This window comes from Homo sapiens, chromosome 12 (genome assembly GCF_000001405.40).
Source record: "Homo sapiens chromosome 12, GRCh38.p14 Primary Assembly".
Classification (NCBI taxonomy): Eukaryota; Metazoa; Chordata; class Mammalia; order Primates; family Hominidae; genus Homo; species Homo sapiens.
The window spans coordinates 111844345-111859385 of NC_000012.12; the positions used below are offsets into that span (position 1 = coordinate 111844345).

General features: G+C 42.9%; 1 protein-coding gene across 11 annotated transcripts in view, besides 2 other annotated features; it reads left to right on the forward strand.

Annotated features, from left to right (window-relative positions):
- Window positions 1-15041, forward strand: part of MAPKAPK5 (MAPK activated protein kinase 5) — a 59995-nt gene that overhangs the window by 2117 nt on the left and 42837 nt on the right. The window lies entirely within an intron of this gene.
- Window positions 61-229: a silencer, noted in NCBI's record as "fragment chr12:112282209-112282377 (GRCh37/hg19 assembly coordinates)". NCBI's record gives its function as "represses an EF-1alpha promoter that drives an FKBP-Casp9 reporter gene in an ReSE screen in K562 erythroleukemia cells {active_cell/tissue: K562}" and the evidence as "EXISTENCE:reporter gene assay evidence [ECO:0000049][PMID:32094911]".
- Window positions 9944-10101: a silencer, noted in NCBI's record as "fragment chr12:112292092-112292249 (GRCh37/hg19 assembly coordinates)". NCBI's record gives its function as "represses an EF-1alpha promoter that drives an FKBP-Casp9 reporter gene in an ReSE screen in HepG2 liver carcinoma cells {active_cell/tissue: HepG2}" and the evidence as "EXISTENCE:reporter gene assay evidence [ECO:0000049][PMID:32094911]".

Genomic DNA, 15041 nt, shown 5'->3' on the forward strand with positions numbered 1-15041 from the left:
CACACCCAGCTAATTTTTTTGTATTTTTAGTAGAGGTGGGGTTTCACTGTGTTAGCCAGGATGGTCTCCATCTCCTGACGTCATGATTTGCCCGCCTCGGCCTCCCAAAGTTCTGAGATAACAGGTGTGAGCCACCGCGCCCAGCCTTGGTTTGGGTTTTATTGGCACAGAGGCATGATATGCCGCCTGAAGTTATTTAATTGGGTTGTGAATCAAAGCGTATGTGGCCAGTTTTTAAACATTGTCTCCTGTGTGCCAGATGGTGTCCTAGACACAAATGGTACAAGCCAGACTCCTAGATGTCCCTACTGTCATGTAGCTTATATTCTAGAGGGTGGGGTTACTGCTAGGTGGTTTTAATTAAGTGTGGAAAGGGTGAGGAGTACTGTGTTAAATAGGGTAGTCCGAGGAGGTGACACTGTAGAGTTCTGATGGAAATGCGAGAGCAAGCCACCACTGTCTCAGGGAAGAGTATAACAGGCAGTGGGAATAGCAAGGACAGACCTTGAGGTAGAAGCAGGTGTAGTGTGATGTAGGAAGAGCAAGGTGGCTGGAATGCAGTGGGTCAGTGGAGATGATGTAGAGCAGCAATGGGAAGCAAGGCACTTAGGGCCTTGTAGGCCATCGTAAGAACTTTGGGTTTGACCCTGATTAAAAGGGGAACTATAGGAGAGTTTTGAACAGAAGAGAGACATAGTTCCAGGAGATAAGTATACAAATAGGGCAGCAATGTCACTTAGTGGTTGTTATAGCTTCTCTAGGTAGACTCAGTTGAAATCTCACCCTATGTTTTTTTTTGATACAGAGTCTCACTCTGTCACCCAGGCTGGAGTGCAGTGGTGTGATCTCGGCTCACTGCAGCCGCCTCCTCCCAGGTTCAAGCAATTCTTGTGCCTTGGCCCTCCGAGTAGCTGGGACTACAGGCGCACACCACCACGCCCGGCTATTTTTGTTGTTATTGCTATTTTGTTGTTATTGTTGTTATATTGCTAGAAAAGATGGGGTTTCACCATGTTGGCCAGGCTGGTCTCGAACTCCTGACCTCAGGTTATCTGTCCGCCTTGGCCTCCCAAAGTGTTGGGACTACAGGCATGAGCTACCACGCCCAGCCCAGCGTTTCTATTTTATTAGCCGTGTGTCTGAGTACGACATCACTTCACTTCTGTCTCGTTAGTTTCCTCATCTGTAGATGGGATAAAAGCACTCCCAGCTTATAGGGTTTTTTGTTGGTTTGTTTGTTAGTTTTTGAGGATTAAATGAGCAGATATACCCAAATGTGCTTATAATAATACCTAGGCCAGGCACGGTGGCTCACACCTGTAATCCCAGCACTTTGGGAAGCCTAGGCGGGCGGATCACCTGAGGTCAGGAGTTGGAGACCACTCTGGCCAACATGGCGAGACCCCCGTCTCTACTAAAAATACAAAAATTAGCCGAGTGTGGTGGCACACATCTGTAATCCCAGCTACTCAGAAGGCTGAGGCAGGAGAATCGCTTGAACCTGGGGGGCAGAGGTTGCAGTGAGCTGAGATCATGCCACTGCACTCCAGCCTGGGCGACAGAGTTAGACTCCTTCTCAAAAAAATAATAATACCTAACAGCAAGAGCTCAATGAATATTAGCTCATAGCAACTTAAGGGTGCTTTAGAAAGAGTTGTTTTTTTCACTTGACTCTTGCCCAGCCCAATTTTCTTAAAATTTTTTTAGCTTTTCTTCACTCAGAAGTACTCAATAGGTCATGGTGAATCTACGCTAATTTGGGCATTTCCAGCCAATACCTATTGGTGGACTTGAAAATCAGTACTGATTAGGATGTACTGCTTTGGAAGCAAGCCAGCATTACATCAAATAAAAAACATTTGGTCTGTGGCATTGTGTTGTATTCATTGTTTTGCTTTTTGGGGGGTGTTCAGCAGATGGTGAGCACTGAGACAAACCTGTAGTGTTCAGCTGGAAAGCTATTTTCCTGGCCTCCAGCCACAACACTTTAACTCTTGCTGCCAGACTACCTGAGAGTGGGTTGATTGGACTTTAAGATCTCATCCTCCCTTATCCACGGTTTTGCTTTCCACAATTTTAGTTACATATGGTCAACTGCAGTCTGAAAATATTAAGTGGAAAATTCCAGAAATCAATAATTCATAAGTTTCTTTTTCTTTTTTTTTTTTTTTGAGACGGTCTTGCTCTGATGCCCAGGCTGGAGTGCAGTGGCGTGATCTTGGCTCACTGCAGCCTCTGCCTCCTGGGTTCAAGCAATTCTTCTGCCTCAGCCTCCCGAGTAGTAGCTGGGATTACAGGTGTGCACCACCATGCCTGGCTAATTTTTGTATTTTTAGTAGAGACGGGGTTTCACCATGTTGGCCAGGCTGATCTCGAACTCCTGACCTCATGATCCACCCTCCTCGGCCTCCCAAAGTGCTAGAGTTACAGGTGTGAGTCACCATGCCTGGCTCTCATAAGTTTCAAATTAAGCACTATTCTTTGTAGTGTAATGAAATCTCTTGCCATATTGCCTGGGACATGAATCATCCCAGCATGTTCACACTGTATATGCTTCCTATCCTGTAGTTACTTAGTAGTCATCTTGGTTATCAGAACAAACAGTATGTATAGGGCTCACTACTATCCAAGATTTCAGGCATCCACTGGAGGTCTTGGAACATATCCTCCCTTATCTGTGGGGACTACTGTACTCTTAAAAACTTTAGGATAAGGGGCTGGGCGTGGTGGCTTACGCTTGTAATCCCAACACTTTGGGAGGCTGAGGTGGGTAGATCATTTGAGGTCAGGAGTTTGAGACCAGCCTGGCCAACATTGTGAAACCCCCATCTCTACTAAAAAAAACAAAAAAAAATTAGCTGGGTGTGGTGGCAGGTGTCTGTAGTCCCAGCTACTCGGGAGGCTGAGGCAGGAGAATCACTTGAACACGGGAGGTGGAAGTTGTAGTGAGCTGAGATTGCTCCACTGTACTCCAGCCTGGGCGACAGGGTGAGACTCTGCAAAAAAAAAAAAAAAAATTTAGGATAAGGTCAAATGGCTGTAAGTGGAGGCTCTATCTTCTATTCCCTGTATCTTCTATTACCTGTATCTCTAGTCCCATAGCCCCATGACTTTGCTACACCCAAGGCACTTAGCTAAATCTGGAGAGTGGGCATTTTGGGATTAGGGATTCTTACATATTGTTTTCTATTATGTATAGCGAGTCGTTAATATTTGATGGAGTTTGTGAAAATCCATTTCCTTAGTTTTTAAAATTAAAAAAAATTGTATAGTTTGTACATCATAAAAATACCCCCAATATAAATGTACAGTTCAGTACATTCAGTGTAAATGTTCAGTAATTTTTAGTAAATTTATAGAGGCATGCAGCCATCATCACACTCTGGTGTATAATATTTCCATCCCTGCTAGAAAGTTCCTTCTGCCTGGTTGCAGTCAGCCCTGTTCCCATTCCTCGCCCCTTACGGCCACTGATTTGCTTTGTCACTATAGTTTTTGCCTTCTCCAGAAATTATTTCCTTAATAGCTTACCAATTTTATGTGTTTGATTTCTTAGCAAATTTCTCAGGTTCATCCACGTTAGTGCATGCTTTAGCAGTTCATTCTTTTTATTGAGCAGTAGTCTTTATTGCTTATCCATTCTCAGTTATAGGACATTTAGATTATTTCTAGTTTTTAGCTGTTGTGAATAAAGTGATAAAACTGTACAAGTTTTGTGTGAATATATGTATTCATTTCTTCAGTGTAGATAGCTAGATGTGGAATAACTGGGCAGTATAGTAAATTTATGTTTAACTTTTTAAGAAACCACCGAACTGTTTTCCAAAGTGGTTGTACCATTATACATTCCCACTGGCAGTGTTTGAAAGTCCTGTTTTTTTCTACCATCTTCACAAATATTAGGTATTTTCAGTCTTCCTATTTTAGTCCTTCTGGTGGGTGTGTAGTGGTATTATGCTTTTAATTTGCATTTCCCTAACGACTAATGCTGTTGGACATCTTTTTGTGTGCAGATTTGACATTCATGTTTCTTTTCTGGTGAAGGGTCTGTTCCAATCTTTTGCCCCATTTTTTTTTTTTTTTTTTTGAGATGGAGTCTTGCTCAGTCGCCCAGGCTGGAGCACAGTGGCACGATCTCGGCTCACTGCAACCACCGTCTCCCGGGTTCAAGTGATTCTCCCGTCTCAGCCTCCCGAGTAGCTGGGATTACAGGCACCTGCCATCATGCCCAGCTAATTTTTGTATTTTAGTAGAGATGGGGTTTCACCATGTTGGCCAGGCTGGTCTTGAACTCCTGACCTCAGGTGATTGCCCACCTTGGCCTCCAAAATGCTAGGATTATAGGCATGAGCCACTGTGCTCGGCCTCTTTTTGCCCGTTTTAGAATTGCTTTTTTTTGTTTTGAGATGGAGTCTCGCTTTGTCACTCAGGCTGGAATGCAGTGGTACGACCTTGGCTCACTGCAACCTCTTCCTCCGGGGTTCAAGCGATTCTCCTGCCTCAGCCTCCTAAGTAGCTGGGATTACAGGCATGCGCCACCATGCCCAGCTAATTTTTTGTATTTGTATTTTTATTTTTTTATTTATTTTTTGTATTTTTAGTAGAGATGAGGTCTTCACCATGTTGACCAGGTGGTCTCGTACTTCTGACCTCAAGTGATCCGCCTGCCTTGGCCTCCCAAAGTGCTGGGATTACAGATGTGAACCACCATGCCCAGCCTAAAATTGATTTCTTTGCCTTATTGAGTTATAGGATTATTTATTTATTTTTTTATTAATTTTTTTAGAGATGGGGTCTCACAATGTTGCCCAGGCTGGTCTTGAACTCCTGGGCTCAAGCGATCTGCCTGCCTCAGCCTCCTGAAGTGCTAGGATTACTGCACCTGGCCAAGAGTTCTTTTTTTTTTCTTTCTTTTTTTTTTTTCTGAGACAAAGTCTTGCTGCTCTTGTTGCCTAGGCTGGAGTGCAATGGCACGATCTTGGCTCACTGCAACCTCCACCTCCCGGGTTCAAGTGATTCTCCTGCCTCAGCCTCCCAAGTAGCTGGGATTATGGGCATCCACCACCATGCCTAGCTAATTTTTGTATTTTTAGTAGAGACTAAAAATTTTAGTTTTGCCATGTTGGCCAGGCTTGTCTTAAACTCCTGACCTTGTGATCTGCCTGCCTCGGCCTCCCAAAGTGCTGGGATTGCAGGCGTCAGCCACCGCACCTGGCCTAGAGTTCTTTATAAACTGAATAAAAGTCATTTATCAGCTATGTGATTGGCAAATATTTTCTCCCAGTCTGTGGCTTATCTTTTCATTTTATAATGGTGTCTTTTGAAGAGCAAAAGGTTTTAAATTTTATGAAGTCCAGTTTAGCACATTTTTTTCTTTTTCTTTTATTTTGTTAGGACAGTCTCACTCCATCACCCAGGCTGGAGTGTAGTGATGCGATCACAGTTCGCTGCAGCCATGTCCTTCTAGGCTTAAGTGATTCTCCCTCCTCAGCCTCCTGAGTAGCTGGGACCACAGGTGTCTACCACCATGTTTGGCTAATTAAAATAACTTTTTTTTTTGTAGAGACACGGGTCCCACTGTGTAGCCCAGGCTGGTCTCCAGCTCTTGAGCTCAAGCAGTCGTCACACTTTGGCCTTCCAAAGTGCTAGAATTATAGGCATGAACCACCACGACTGGTTGTGAAATATCCTTTTTTTTTTCATAGATGGAGACTTGCTCTGTTGACCAGGCTGGAGTGTAGTGGCGTGATCTTGGCTCACTGCAACCTCTGCCTCCCAGGTTCAAGCAGTTCTCCTGCCTTAGCCTCCCAAGTAGCTGGGATTACAGGTGGGTGCCACCATGCCCGCCTAATTTTTGTCTTTTTAATAGAGACGGGGTTTCACCATGTTGGCCAGGCTGGTCTCGAACTCCTGACCTTGTGATCTGCCTGCATCGGCCTCCCAAAGTGCTGGGATTACAGGCATGAGCAACTGTGCCTGGCCAAAATACCTTTTTATTTCATATTGAAGATGCAGCTTTTACGTGGGTGCGAGAGTGCTATAAGAAAGGCATAACTATAGACTCTAATATTTTTCGAGAAAAAGTCATTGTGTCTTAAAAGGAAGGTAAAGGATCTAAAGTTGGAGAATTTAATGCCAGCAAAGGATGGTTTGATAACTGTAGAGAGGTTTGGCTTAAAAAAATGTCAGGGTAACAGGAGAAGCAGCTTCTGCTGACCAAGAGGCGGCAAACAAGTTCCCAGATGCCATTAAGAAAATCATTGAGGAGAAAGGATATCTGCTTGAATGGGTTTTTAATGCAGACAAAAATGCCCTGTTCTGGGGAAAACAATGCCACAAAGGACATTTATGAGTAAGGAAGAGCAGTGAGTGCCAGGATTTAAGGCAGGAAGAGCTAGGTTAACTGCCGTTTTGTGTAAACACAGTCAAGTTTATGATCAGGACTACCCTGGTCTATAAAGCTGCTAACCTCTGAGCCTTCAAGGGAGAAGATAAAACACCAGCTGCCAGTCTGTTTTTACCAAAAGAAAGCCTGGATAATGAGAACCCATTTTCTTTTTTTTTTTTTTTTTTGAGAGGAGTCTCGCTCTGTGGCCCAGGCTGGAGTGCAGTGGCACGATCGCGGCTCACTGCAAGCTCTGCCTCCTGGGTTCACACCATTCTCCTGCCTCAGCCTCCCGAGTAGCTGGGATTATAGTTGCCTGCCACCACGCCCAGCTAATTTTTGTATTTTAGTAGAGACAGGGTTTCAGCATGTTGGCCAGGCTGGTCTTGAACTCCTAACCTCAAGTGATCCGCCTGCCTCGGCCTCCCAAAGTGCTGGGATTACAGGCATGAGCCACCGTGCCCGGCCAGGACTGCCTTTTAAAGTTTTTTTGACACAATGCCCCTGGCCACTGAGAATCCCATGAGTTCAACACTAGGCTTTGAAGTGGTCTACTTGTCCACAAACAGTGTCTCTAATCCAGCCTGTAGATCAGGAGGTCTCAAGGACTTTTTGAGAAAGAGTCTGGCTCTGTTGTCCAGGTTGGAGTGCAGTGGGGTGATCTCAGCTCACTTCAACCTCTGCCTCCCAGGTTCAAGCAATTCTCATGCCTCAGCCTCTCGAGAAGCTGGAATTACAGGCATGCTCCACAATGCCTGGCTAATTTTTGTATTTTTAGGAGAGATGAGGTTTCACCATTTTGCCCAGGTTGGTCTCGAACTCCTGGCCTCAAGTGATCTGCCTGCCTCAGCCTCCCAAAGTGCTGGGATTACAGGCTTCAGCTGCCGCACCTGGTCCAGGACTTTCAAGACTCATTACATGGGATACTCTGGAAAAGATTGTTAACACCAAGGAAGAGAATCCTGATAGAATGTAGTGAAAGTCTAGAGGGATTACACCACTGAAGATGCCATTGTTATGGAAAAAGCTGTGGAAGCCATCAGGCCTGAAACAATAAATTCCTGGTGGAGAAAACTCTGTCCAGATGTGCGTGACTTCATAGGATTTATGACAGAGCTGGTTAAGGAAATCATGAAAGAGATTGTGGATATGGCAAAAAAGGTGAAGGGTGAAGAGTTTTAAGGTACAGATCTTGGAGAAATTCAAGAGCTAATAGACACCACACCTGAGGAATTAATAGAAGATGACTTGATGGAGATGAGTGCTTCTGTGCCAGACAGTAAGGAATAAGATGTACAAGAAACAGGGGCAGGAAAAAATTGACATTAGACAATTTGCCAGAAGGGTTCCAATTATTCAAGACTTCCTTTAGCTTTGTTTATGGAATATGGAATGGAACCTTCTGTGATACTGGCACTGAAGTGAAAGCAAATGGTGGAAGAAGGATTAGTATTGTATAGAAATGTTTTTAGAGAAATGGAAAAGCAAAAAAGTCAGACAGAAATGAGGATGTATTTTTGTAATGTTACACCAGATGTGCCTGCCTCTCCTGCCTTCCTTTCCATGCCCTTCACCTCTTCTACCTCTGCTGCCCCAAGACAGCAAGACCAACCAACTCCTTTTCTTTCTTTCCCTCAGTCTACTCATCCTGAAGATGGGTGAAGACCTTTATGATGATGCACCTCCACTTAATGAATAGCAAATATGTTTTCTCTTATGATTTTCTTAATAACATTTTTTCTCTATCTTACTCTATTGTAACAATATAGTATGTAATACATAAAATATGTGTTAATTGACTTTCTGTTGTCAGTATGGTTAACAGGCTATTAGTAGTTAAATTTTGGGGGAGTCAGAAGTTATGTGCAGATTTTTGACTGCCCAGGGTGTCAGTGCCCTTAACCTTCACGTTGTTCAAGGGTCAAGTATATTATCTTATCTATTAACGTAGTAGAGCTTTCCATTTCTTTAGGGCTTCTTCAGTTTCTCTAAGCAGTGTTTTCTAGTTTCCAGTGTATAAATCTATAAATCTTGCCTTTTGATAAATTTATTCTTTTTTTTTGAGACAGAGTCTCACTCTGTCTCGCAGGCTTAAGTGCAGTAGTGCAATCTCGGCTGACGGCAACCTCTGCCTCCCAGGTTCAAGCAATTCTCCTGCCTCAGCCTCCTGAGTAGCTGGGATTACAGGCTTGCTTCACCATGCCTGGCTAATTTTTGTATTTTCAATAGAGACAGGGTTTCACCATGTTGGCCAGGCTGATCTTGAACTCCTGGCCTCAGGCAATCCACCTGCCTTGGCCTCCCAAAGTGTTGGGATTACAGGCATGAGCCACTGTGTCCAGCCTGATAAATGTATTCCTGTTTTCTTCTTCACGCCTGTAATCCCAGCACTTTGGGAGGCTGAGGTGGGCGGATCACGAGGTCAGGGGATCGAGTCCATCCTGGCTAACACAGTGAAACCCCCTCTCTACTAAAAAAAAAAAATACAAAAAACTAGCCAGGCGTGGTGGCAAGCGCCTGTAGTCCCTGCTGCTTGGGAGGCTGAGGCAGAAGAATGGCGCGAACCTGGGAGGTGGAGCTTATGGTGAGCCAAGATGGCGCCACTGCACTCCAGCCTGGGTGACAGAGCGAAACTTCGTCTCAAAAAAAAAAAGAATGGAATTGTTTTCTTCATTTCATTTTTGGATTGTTTGTCACTAGTGTATGGAAATACAGTTGATTTCTGTATGTTGATTTTGTATTTTGTATCCTTAGTACATTTGCATACTAGTTCTTATAGATCCCTTAGGATTTTCTACATATAAAACAAAATTTTTTTGTTTTGAGATGGAGTCTCTCTCTGTTGCCCAGGCTGGAGTGCAGTGGTGTGATCTTAGCTTACTGCAACCTCCGCCTCCCGGGTTCAGGCAATTCTCCTATCTCAGCCTCCTGAGTAGCTGGGATGACAGGTGCCTGCCACCACACCTGGCTAATTTTTATCTGTTTAGTAGAGATGGGGTTTCATCTTGTTGGTCAGGCTGGTCTCGAACTCCTGACCTCAGGTGATCCACCCGCCTTGGCCTCCCAAAGTGCTGGGATTACAGGCTTAAGCCACTACGCCCGGCCTGGCTGACAGTTTTATCAGGAATGGGTGTTGAGTTTTTGTTAAATATTTTCCCTTCATCTATTGAGTTAATTATGTGGTTTTTGTTCTTTATTCTTAATATAGTATATGGTAATATTACGTTATTTTCAGATATTAAGCCAATCTTGCATTCCTGGTATAAACCCCACTCAGACCCACTTAGTCTGGTGTAGAATCATTCTTACATGTTGCTAGTTTCAGTTTGTTAATATTTTGTTGAGGATTGTTTAATCTATATTCATGATAGATACTTTCTTGTGATGCCTTTTTCGAGTTTTGGTATGAATGTAATGCTAGCTTTATAGAACAAGTTAGAAAGTATACCCTCCTCTATGGGATCATTACTATGAACATAGTAAAGATTTTCTTTTCTTTTTCTTTTTCTTTTTCTTTTTTTTTTTTGAGATGGAGTCTCATTCTGTTGCCAGGCTGGAGTGGAGTGCAGTGGCATGATCTCAGCTCACTGCAACCTCCGCCTCCCTGGTTCAACTGATTATTTTGTCTCAGCCTCCCAAGTAGCTGGGACTTGAGGCGTGCGCCACCACGCCCAGCTAATTTTTGTATTTTTAGTGGAGATGGGGTTTCACCATGTTGGCCAGATGGTCTTGATCTCTTGACCTCGTGATCCACCTGCCTCGGCCTCCCAAAGTGCTGGGATTACAGGCATGAGCCACCGTGCTCGGCCAGTAATGATTTTCAATATGAAATAAAAGGGTATTTTACAGCCAGGTGTGGTGGCTCACATCTGTAATCCCAGTACTTTGGGAGGCCAAAGTTTGGAATACATTATTTCGTTAAATATGTGGTTCTCAGTGGAATGGGCAGGGATTTTACCTCTTGGGAGACATTTGGTAACATCTGGAGACATTTTTGGTTATCACAGTTGGTAGCGGGTGCTTCTGGCACCTAGTGGGTAGACGGCAGGAATGCTGCTGAACATCCTAAAAGGCCAAGGCAACCCCACAACAGAGAACTATCTGGCTCAAAATGTCAGTGGTGCTGAGGTTGAGAAACCCAACAAATGTGTAGTATTTACCACTGAAACCAATGTGCCTAGACTTTGTTTCATGGGAAGATACTCAGTTATTAATTCAGTTTTTTTTACTTGTTACAGGTCTATTCAGGTTTTCTTTTTCTTCTTGAGTGAGTTTTGGTAATTTCTTTCTAGAAATTTGTCCATTTTATCTAGTGCTTTAATTTGTTGGCATAAAGTCGTTCATGGTTTTCCCTTTTAATACTTTGATTTCTGTAAAGTCAATTGTGATGTTCCCTCTTTCCTTTCTAATATTAATAATTTGTGTCCTGCCCTTTTTGTATTGGTCAATTCAGCTAAAGGTTTGTTAACTTTGTTGATCTTTTCAAATAATCAACTTTTGGTTTTCATTGATTTTCTCTATTTTTCTGTATTCTGTTTTATAGCTCTCTGCTCAAATCTTTATTATTTTCTTCTTTCTGCTTGCTTTGAGTATAGTCTGCTCTTTTTCTACATTTTAAAGGTAGAAGGTTAGGTTAGTGATTGTGATCTTTTCTAAGGTAGGCATTTACAGCTATAAATTTCTGTTTCAGCACCACTTCAACTTCATCTCATTATTTTTGGCAAATTGTGTTTGCATTTTCATTGAGATAAAATATTTTCTAATATCTCATGTTAAATCTTCTTTGACCTCCTGGTTATTTATAAGTGTGTTGTTTAGGCCAGGTGCAGTGGCTCACGCCTGTAATCCTCGCACTTTGGGAGGCCAAGGCAGGCGGATCACGAGGTCAGGAGTTCGAGACCAGCCTGGCCAATATGGTGAACCCCCATCTCTACTAAAATTACAAAAATTAGCTGGGCATGGTGGTGTGCACCTGTAGTCCCAGCTACTTGGGAAGCTGAGGCAGAAGAATCGCTTGAACCTGGGAGGCAGAGATTGCAGTGAGCCAAGATTGCGCCACTGTACTCCAGCCTGGTGACAAAGTGAGACTCCATCTCAAGAAAAAAAAATGCGTTGTTTAATTTCTTTTTTTTTTTTTTTTCTTGAGATGGAGTTTCGCTCTTGTTGCCCAGGCTGGAGTGCAATGGCGTGATCTTGGTTCACCGCAACCTCTGCCTCCCAGGTTCAAGCGATTATCCTGCCTCAGCCTCCCGAGTAGCTGGGATTACAGGCATACACCACCATGCCTGGCTAATTTTGTACTTTTAGTAGAGACTGGGTTTCTCCATGTTGATCAGGCTGGTCTCGAACTCCTGACCTCAGGCGATCTGCCCACCTTGGCCTCCCAAAGTGCTGGGATTACAGGCGTGAGCCACTGTGTCCAGTCGTGTTGTTTAATTTCTGAATATGTATGGATTTCCCAACTTTCCCTTCTGTTCATTTCTGGCTTAATTCCATGGTGGTTGGAGAACTTCATATAATTTATTTTCAATTCATTTAGTTTTTTTTATGATCTAGAATATGGCCTATCATAAGCCATTTCAGATTAAGACTAACTTTAAATTAATACTAATAGTTTCAGTAAAATATAGAAAATGCTCCAGTTTAGCTCCATTGTCTCCCTCTTCTTTTTTTTTCTTTCTTTTTTTTTTTTTTGAGACGGAGTCTCACTCTGTCTACCCAGGCTGGTGTGCAGTAGCATGATCTCGGCTCACTGCAACCTCCACCTCCTGGGTTCAAGTGATTCTCCCATCCCAGCGTCCTGAGTAGCTGGAATTACAAGTGTGCACCACCATGCCTGTCTAATTTTTGTATTTTTAGTAGAGATGGGGTTTCACCATTTTGGCCAGGCTGGTCTCAAACTCCTGACCTCAGGTGATCCACCTGCCTTGGCCTCCCAAAATGCCAGGGTTACAGGTGTGAGCCACTGTGCTCAGCCTTCTCCCTCTTCTTTTGTGTTACTGTTGTCTATGTATTATATATGTATATATTACAAACCAGAAAATACAGTGTTGTAGTTATTTGTTTATGCAGTTAAATCTTATGTGTTTTAAATAAGAGAGAAAGGAATAAAATATATTTACAGCCTTTTATGTTAACCTACAGTATATTTACCATTTTTGTTATTCTTCATTTTTTCCCTCTTGATCCAAGTTACTATCTGATGTAAATTCTCTGTTGATTTTCTGGATATGTATTTTTGAAATGCTTTTATGAGGATTATAATATGCATCTTTAATTTATCACAGTCCACTTTGGGTTAAAATTGACTAAAGTCTGGTAATATACAGCACCTTTGCTCCAAGGTAGCTCTATTTCCTCCTTTCTCCCTTGTGTTCTTATTGTCATGTATATCTTTATATGTTATAACCTATCTTATGTATATTTATGAAATTAAGAGAAGAAAATAATTTTTTCCATGTTTACCTGTTCTAGTACTTTCTGTTCCTTCTTGTGGATCCAAGTTTTCTTTTTTCTTTTTTTTTTTTTTGAGATGGAGCCTCGCTCCCGTTGCTTAGGCTAGAGTGCAGTGGTATGATCTCGGCTCACTGCAACCTCCACCTCCCGGGTTCAAGCAATTCTCCTTCCTCACCCTCCGTAGTAGCTGGGAATACAGGTGTGTGCCACCATGCCTGGCTATTTTGGGGTTTTATTTTGTATTTTTAGTAGAGACGAGGTTTCGCCATGTTGGCCAGGCTGGTCTTGAACTCCTGACCTCAGGTGATCCCTCCCATCTTGGCCTACCAAAGTGCTAGGATTACAGACGTGAGCCACCGTGCCCGGCCTGATCCAAGTTCTCATACAGTAGCATTGCCATTCTCTCCAAAGGACTTCCTTTGGTAGTTCTTGTAGGCCAAGTCTACTAGCAGTGAATTCTTTCAGTGTTTATTTATTTGATAATGCCTTTATTTCACTGTTAATTTTTGAGGGATAGTTTTGTTCAATATAGAATTTATGCTTGACAGTTGTTTTTTCAGTACTTTCATTATGTGATTCTACTGTCTTCTGGCTTGCATTGTTTCTGATGAAAAGTCAGCCATTATTTATATTGCTGTCCATGATTTGTCATTTTTTCCCTTCGTACTTACATTATTTTCTCTTTCTCTTTCAGTGTTTTTTTTTGTGTGTGTGTGTTTGTGTGTGTGTGTGAGACAGGGTCTTGCTCTGTTGCCTAGGCTGGAGTGCAGTGGCATGATCTCAGCTTACTGCAACCTCAATCTCCTGGGCTCAAGCAACCCTCCTACCTCAGCCTACCCAGTAGCTGGGACCACAGGCACAGGCATGCACCACTACACCAGGCTAAATTTTGTATTTTTTGTAGAGACGGAGTTTTGCCATGTTGCCCAGGCTGGTCTTGAACTCCTGACTTCAAGTGATCCTCACCCTGCAGCCTCCCAAAGTGCTGGGATTACAGGCGTGAGCAACTGCACCTGGTCTTGTCTTTCAGTGTTTTGACTGTGGTATGTCTAGGTGTGGTTCTTTTTGTGTTTATCTTATTTAGAGTTTGTTGAGCTTCTTGGAGGCCATAGGTTATTACTGTTCATCAAGTTGGGGAAGGTTTTGCCTATTATTTCTTCAAATATTCCCACCTCCCCCATCTTCACCCCTCTTTGGCTCTCCCATTACACATATGTTGGAACGCTTGACATTATTCTACAGGTCTCATTTTTCTTTAATCTTTTTTCTGTCTATTCTTTGGATTTGATCATTTCTTTCTATGTATTTTCATGTTCACTAATTATTCTGTCACCTGAAAATCTGTTGAGCACCTCTTTTTTTTTTTTTTTTTTTCCAAAACGGAGTCTTGCTCTGTCACCCAGGCTGGAGTGCAGTGGTGCGATCGCAGCTCACTGCAACCTCCGCCTCCTGGGTTCAAGCAATTCTCCTGCCCCAGCCTCCTGAGTAGCTGGGATTACAGCACCTGCCACTGTGCCTGGCTAATTTTTGTATTTTTAGTAGAGACGGGGTTTCACTGTGTTGGCCGGGCTGGTCTCGAGCTCCTGACCTCATGATCCGCCCGCCTTGGCCTCCTAAAGTGCTGGGATTACAGGCGTGAGCCACCGTGCTCAGCCTGTTGAGCACCTCTGATCAGTTTTTCATGCCAGTCATTATAATTTTTAACTCTAGAATTTCCATGTGGTTCCTCTTCATTTTTTCTGTTTCTCGGCTGAAAATCTCTATTTATCATTATTTTTTACTTCGTCATCAGTTTTCTTTAATTCTTTGGACGTTTAAAATAGTTGCTTTTAAGTGCAACTACTTGCTCAATCTAGTATCTGCATCCAATCAGAGATGGATGCTATTGATTTCTCTTTTTCCTGAGCTTAGGTGACACTTTCCTGGTTTTTACAAGTCTAGTAATTTTGGTTGAAAACTGGACATTTAGATAATATAGCAACTCTGGATTCTGAGTTTTCCCCCCTGTGGCTTGTTATATTTACAGTTAATTGCTTAGAATTAAACCAGAATCTATTTTTCCTTTGGTGTGCTAATGTCTCTGCTTAGTTTTAAATTATTATTAGTTTTTTCGAGACGGAGTCTCACTCTGTCACCAGGCTGGAGTGCAGTGGCATGATCTCAGCTCATTGCAACCTCCGCTTCCCAGGTTCAAGCGATT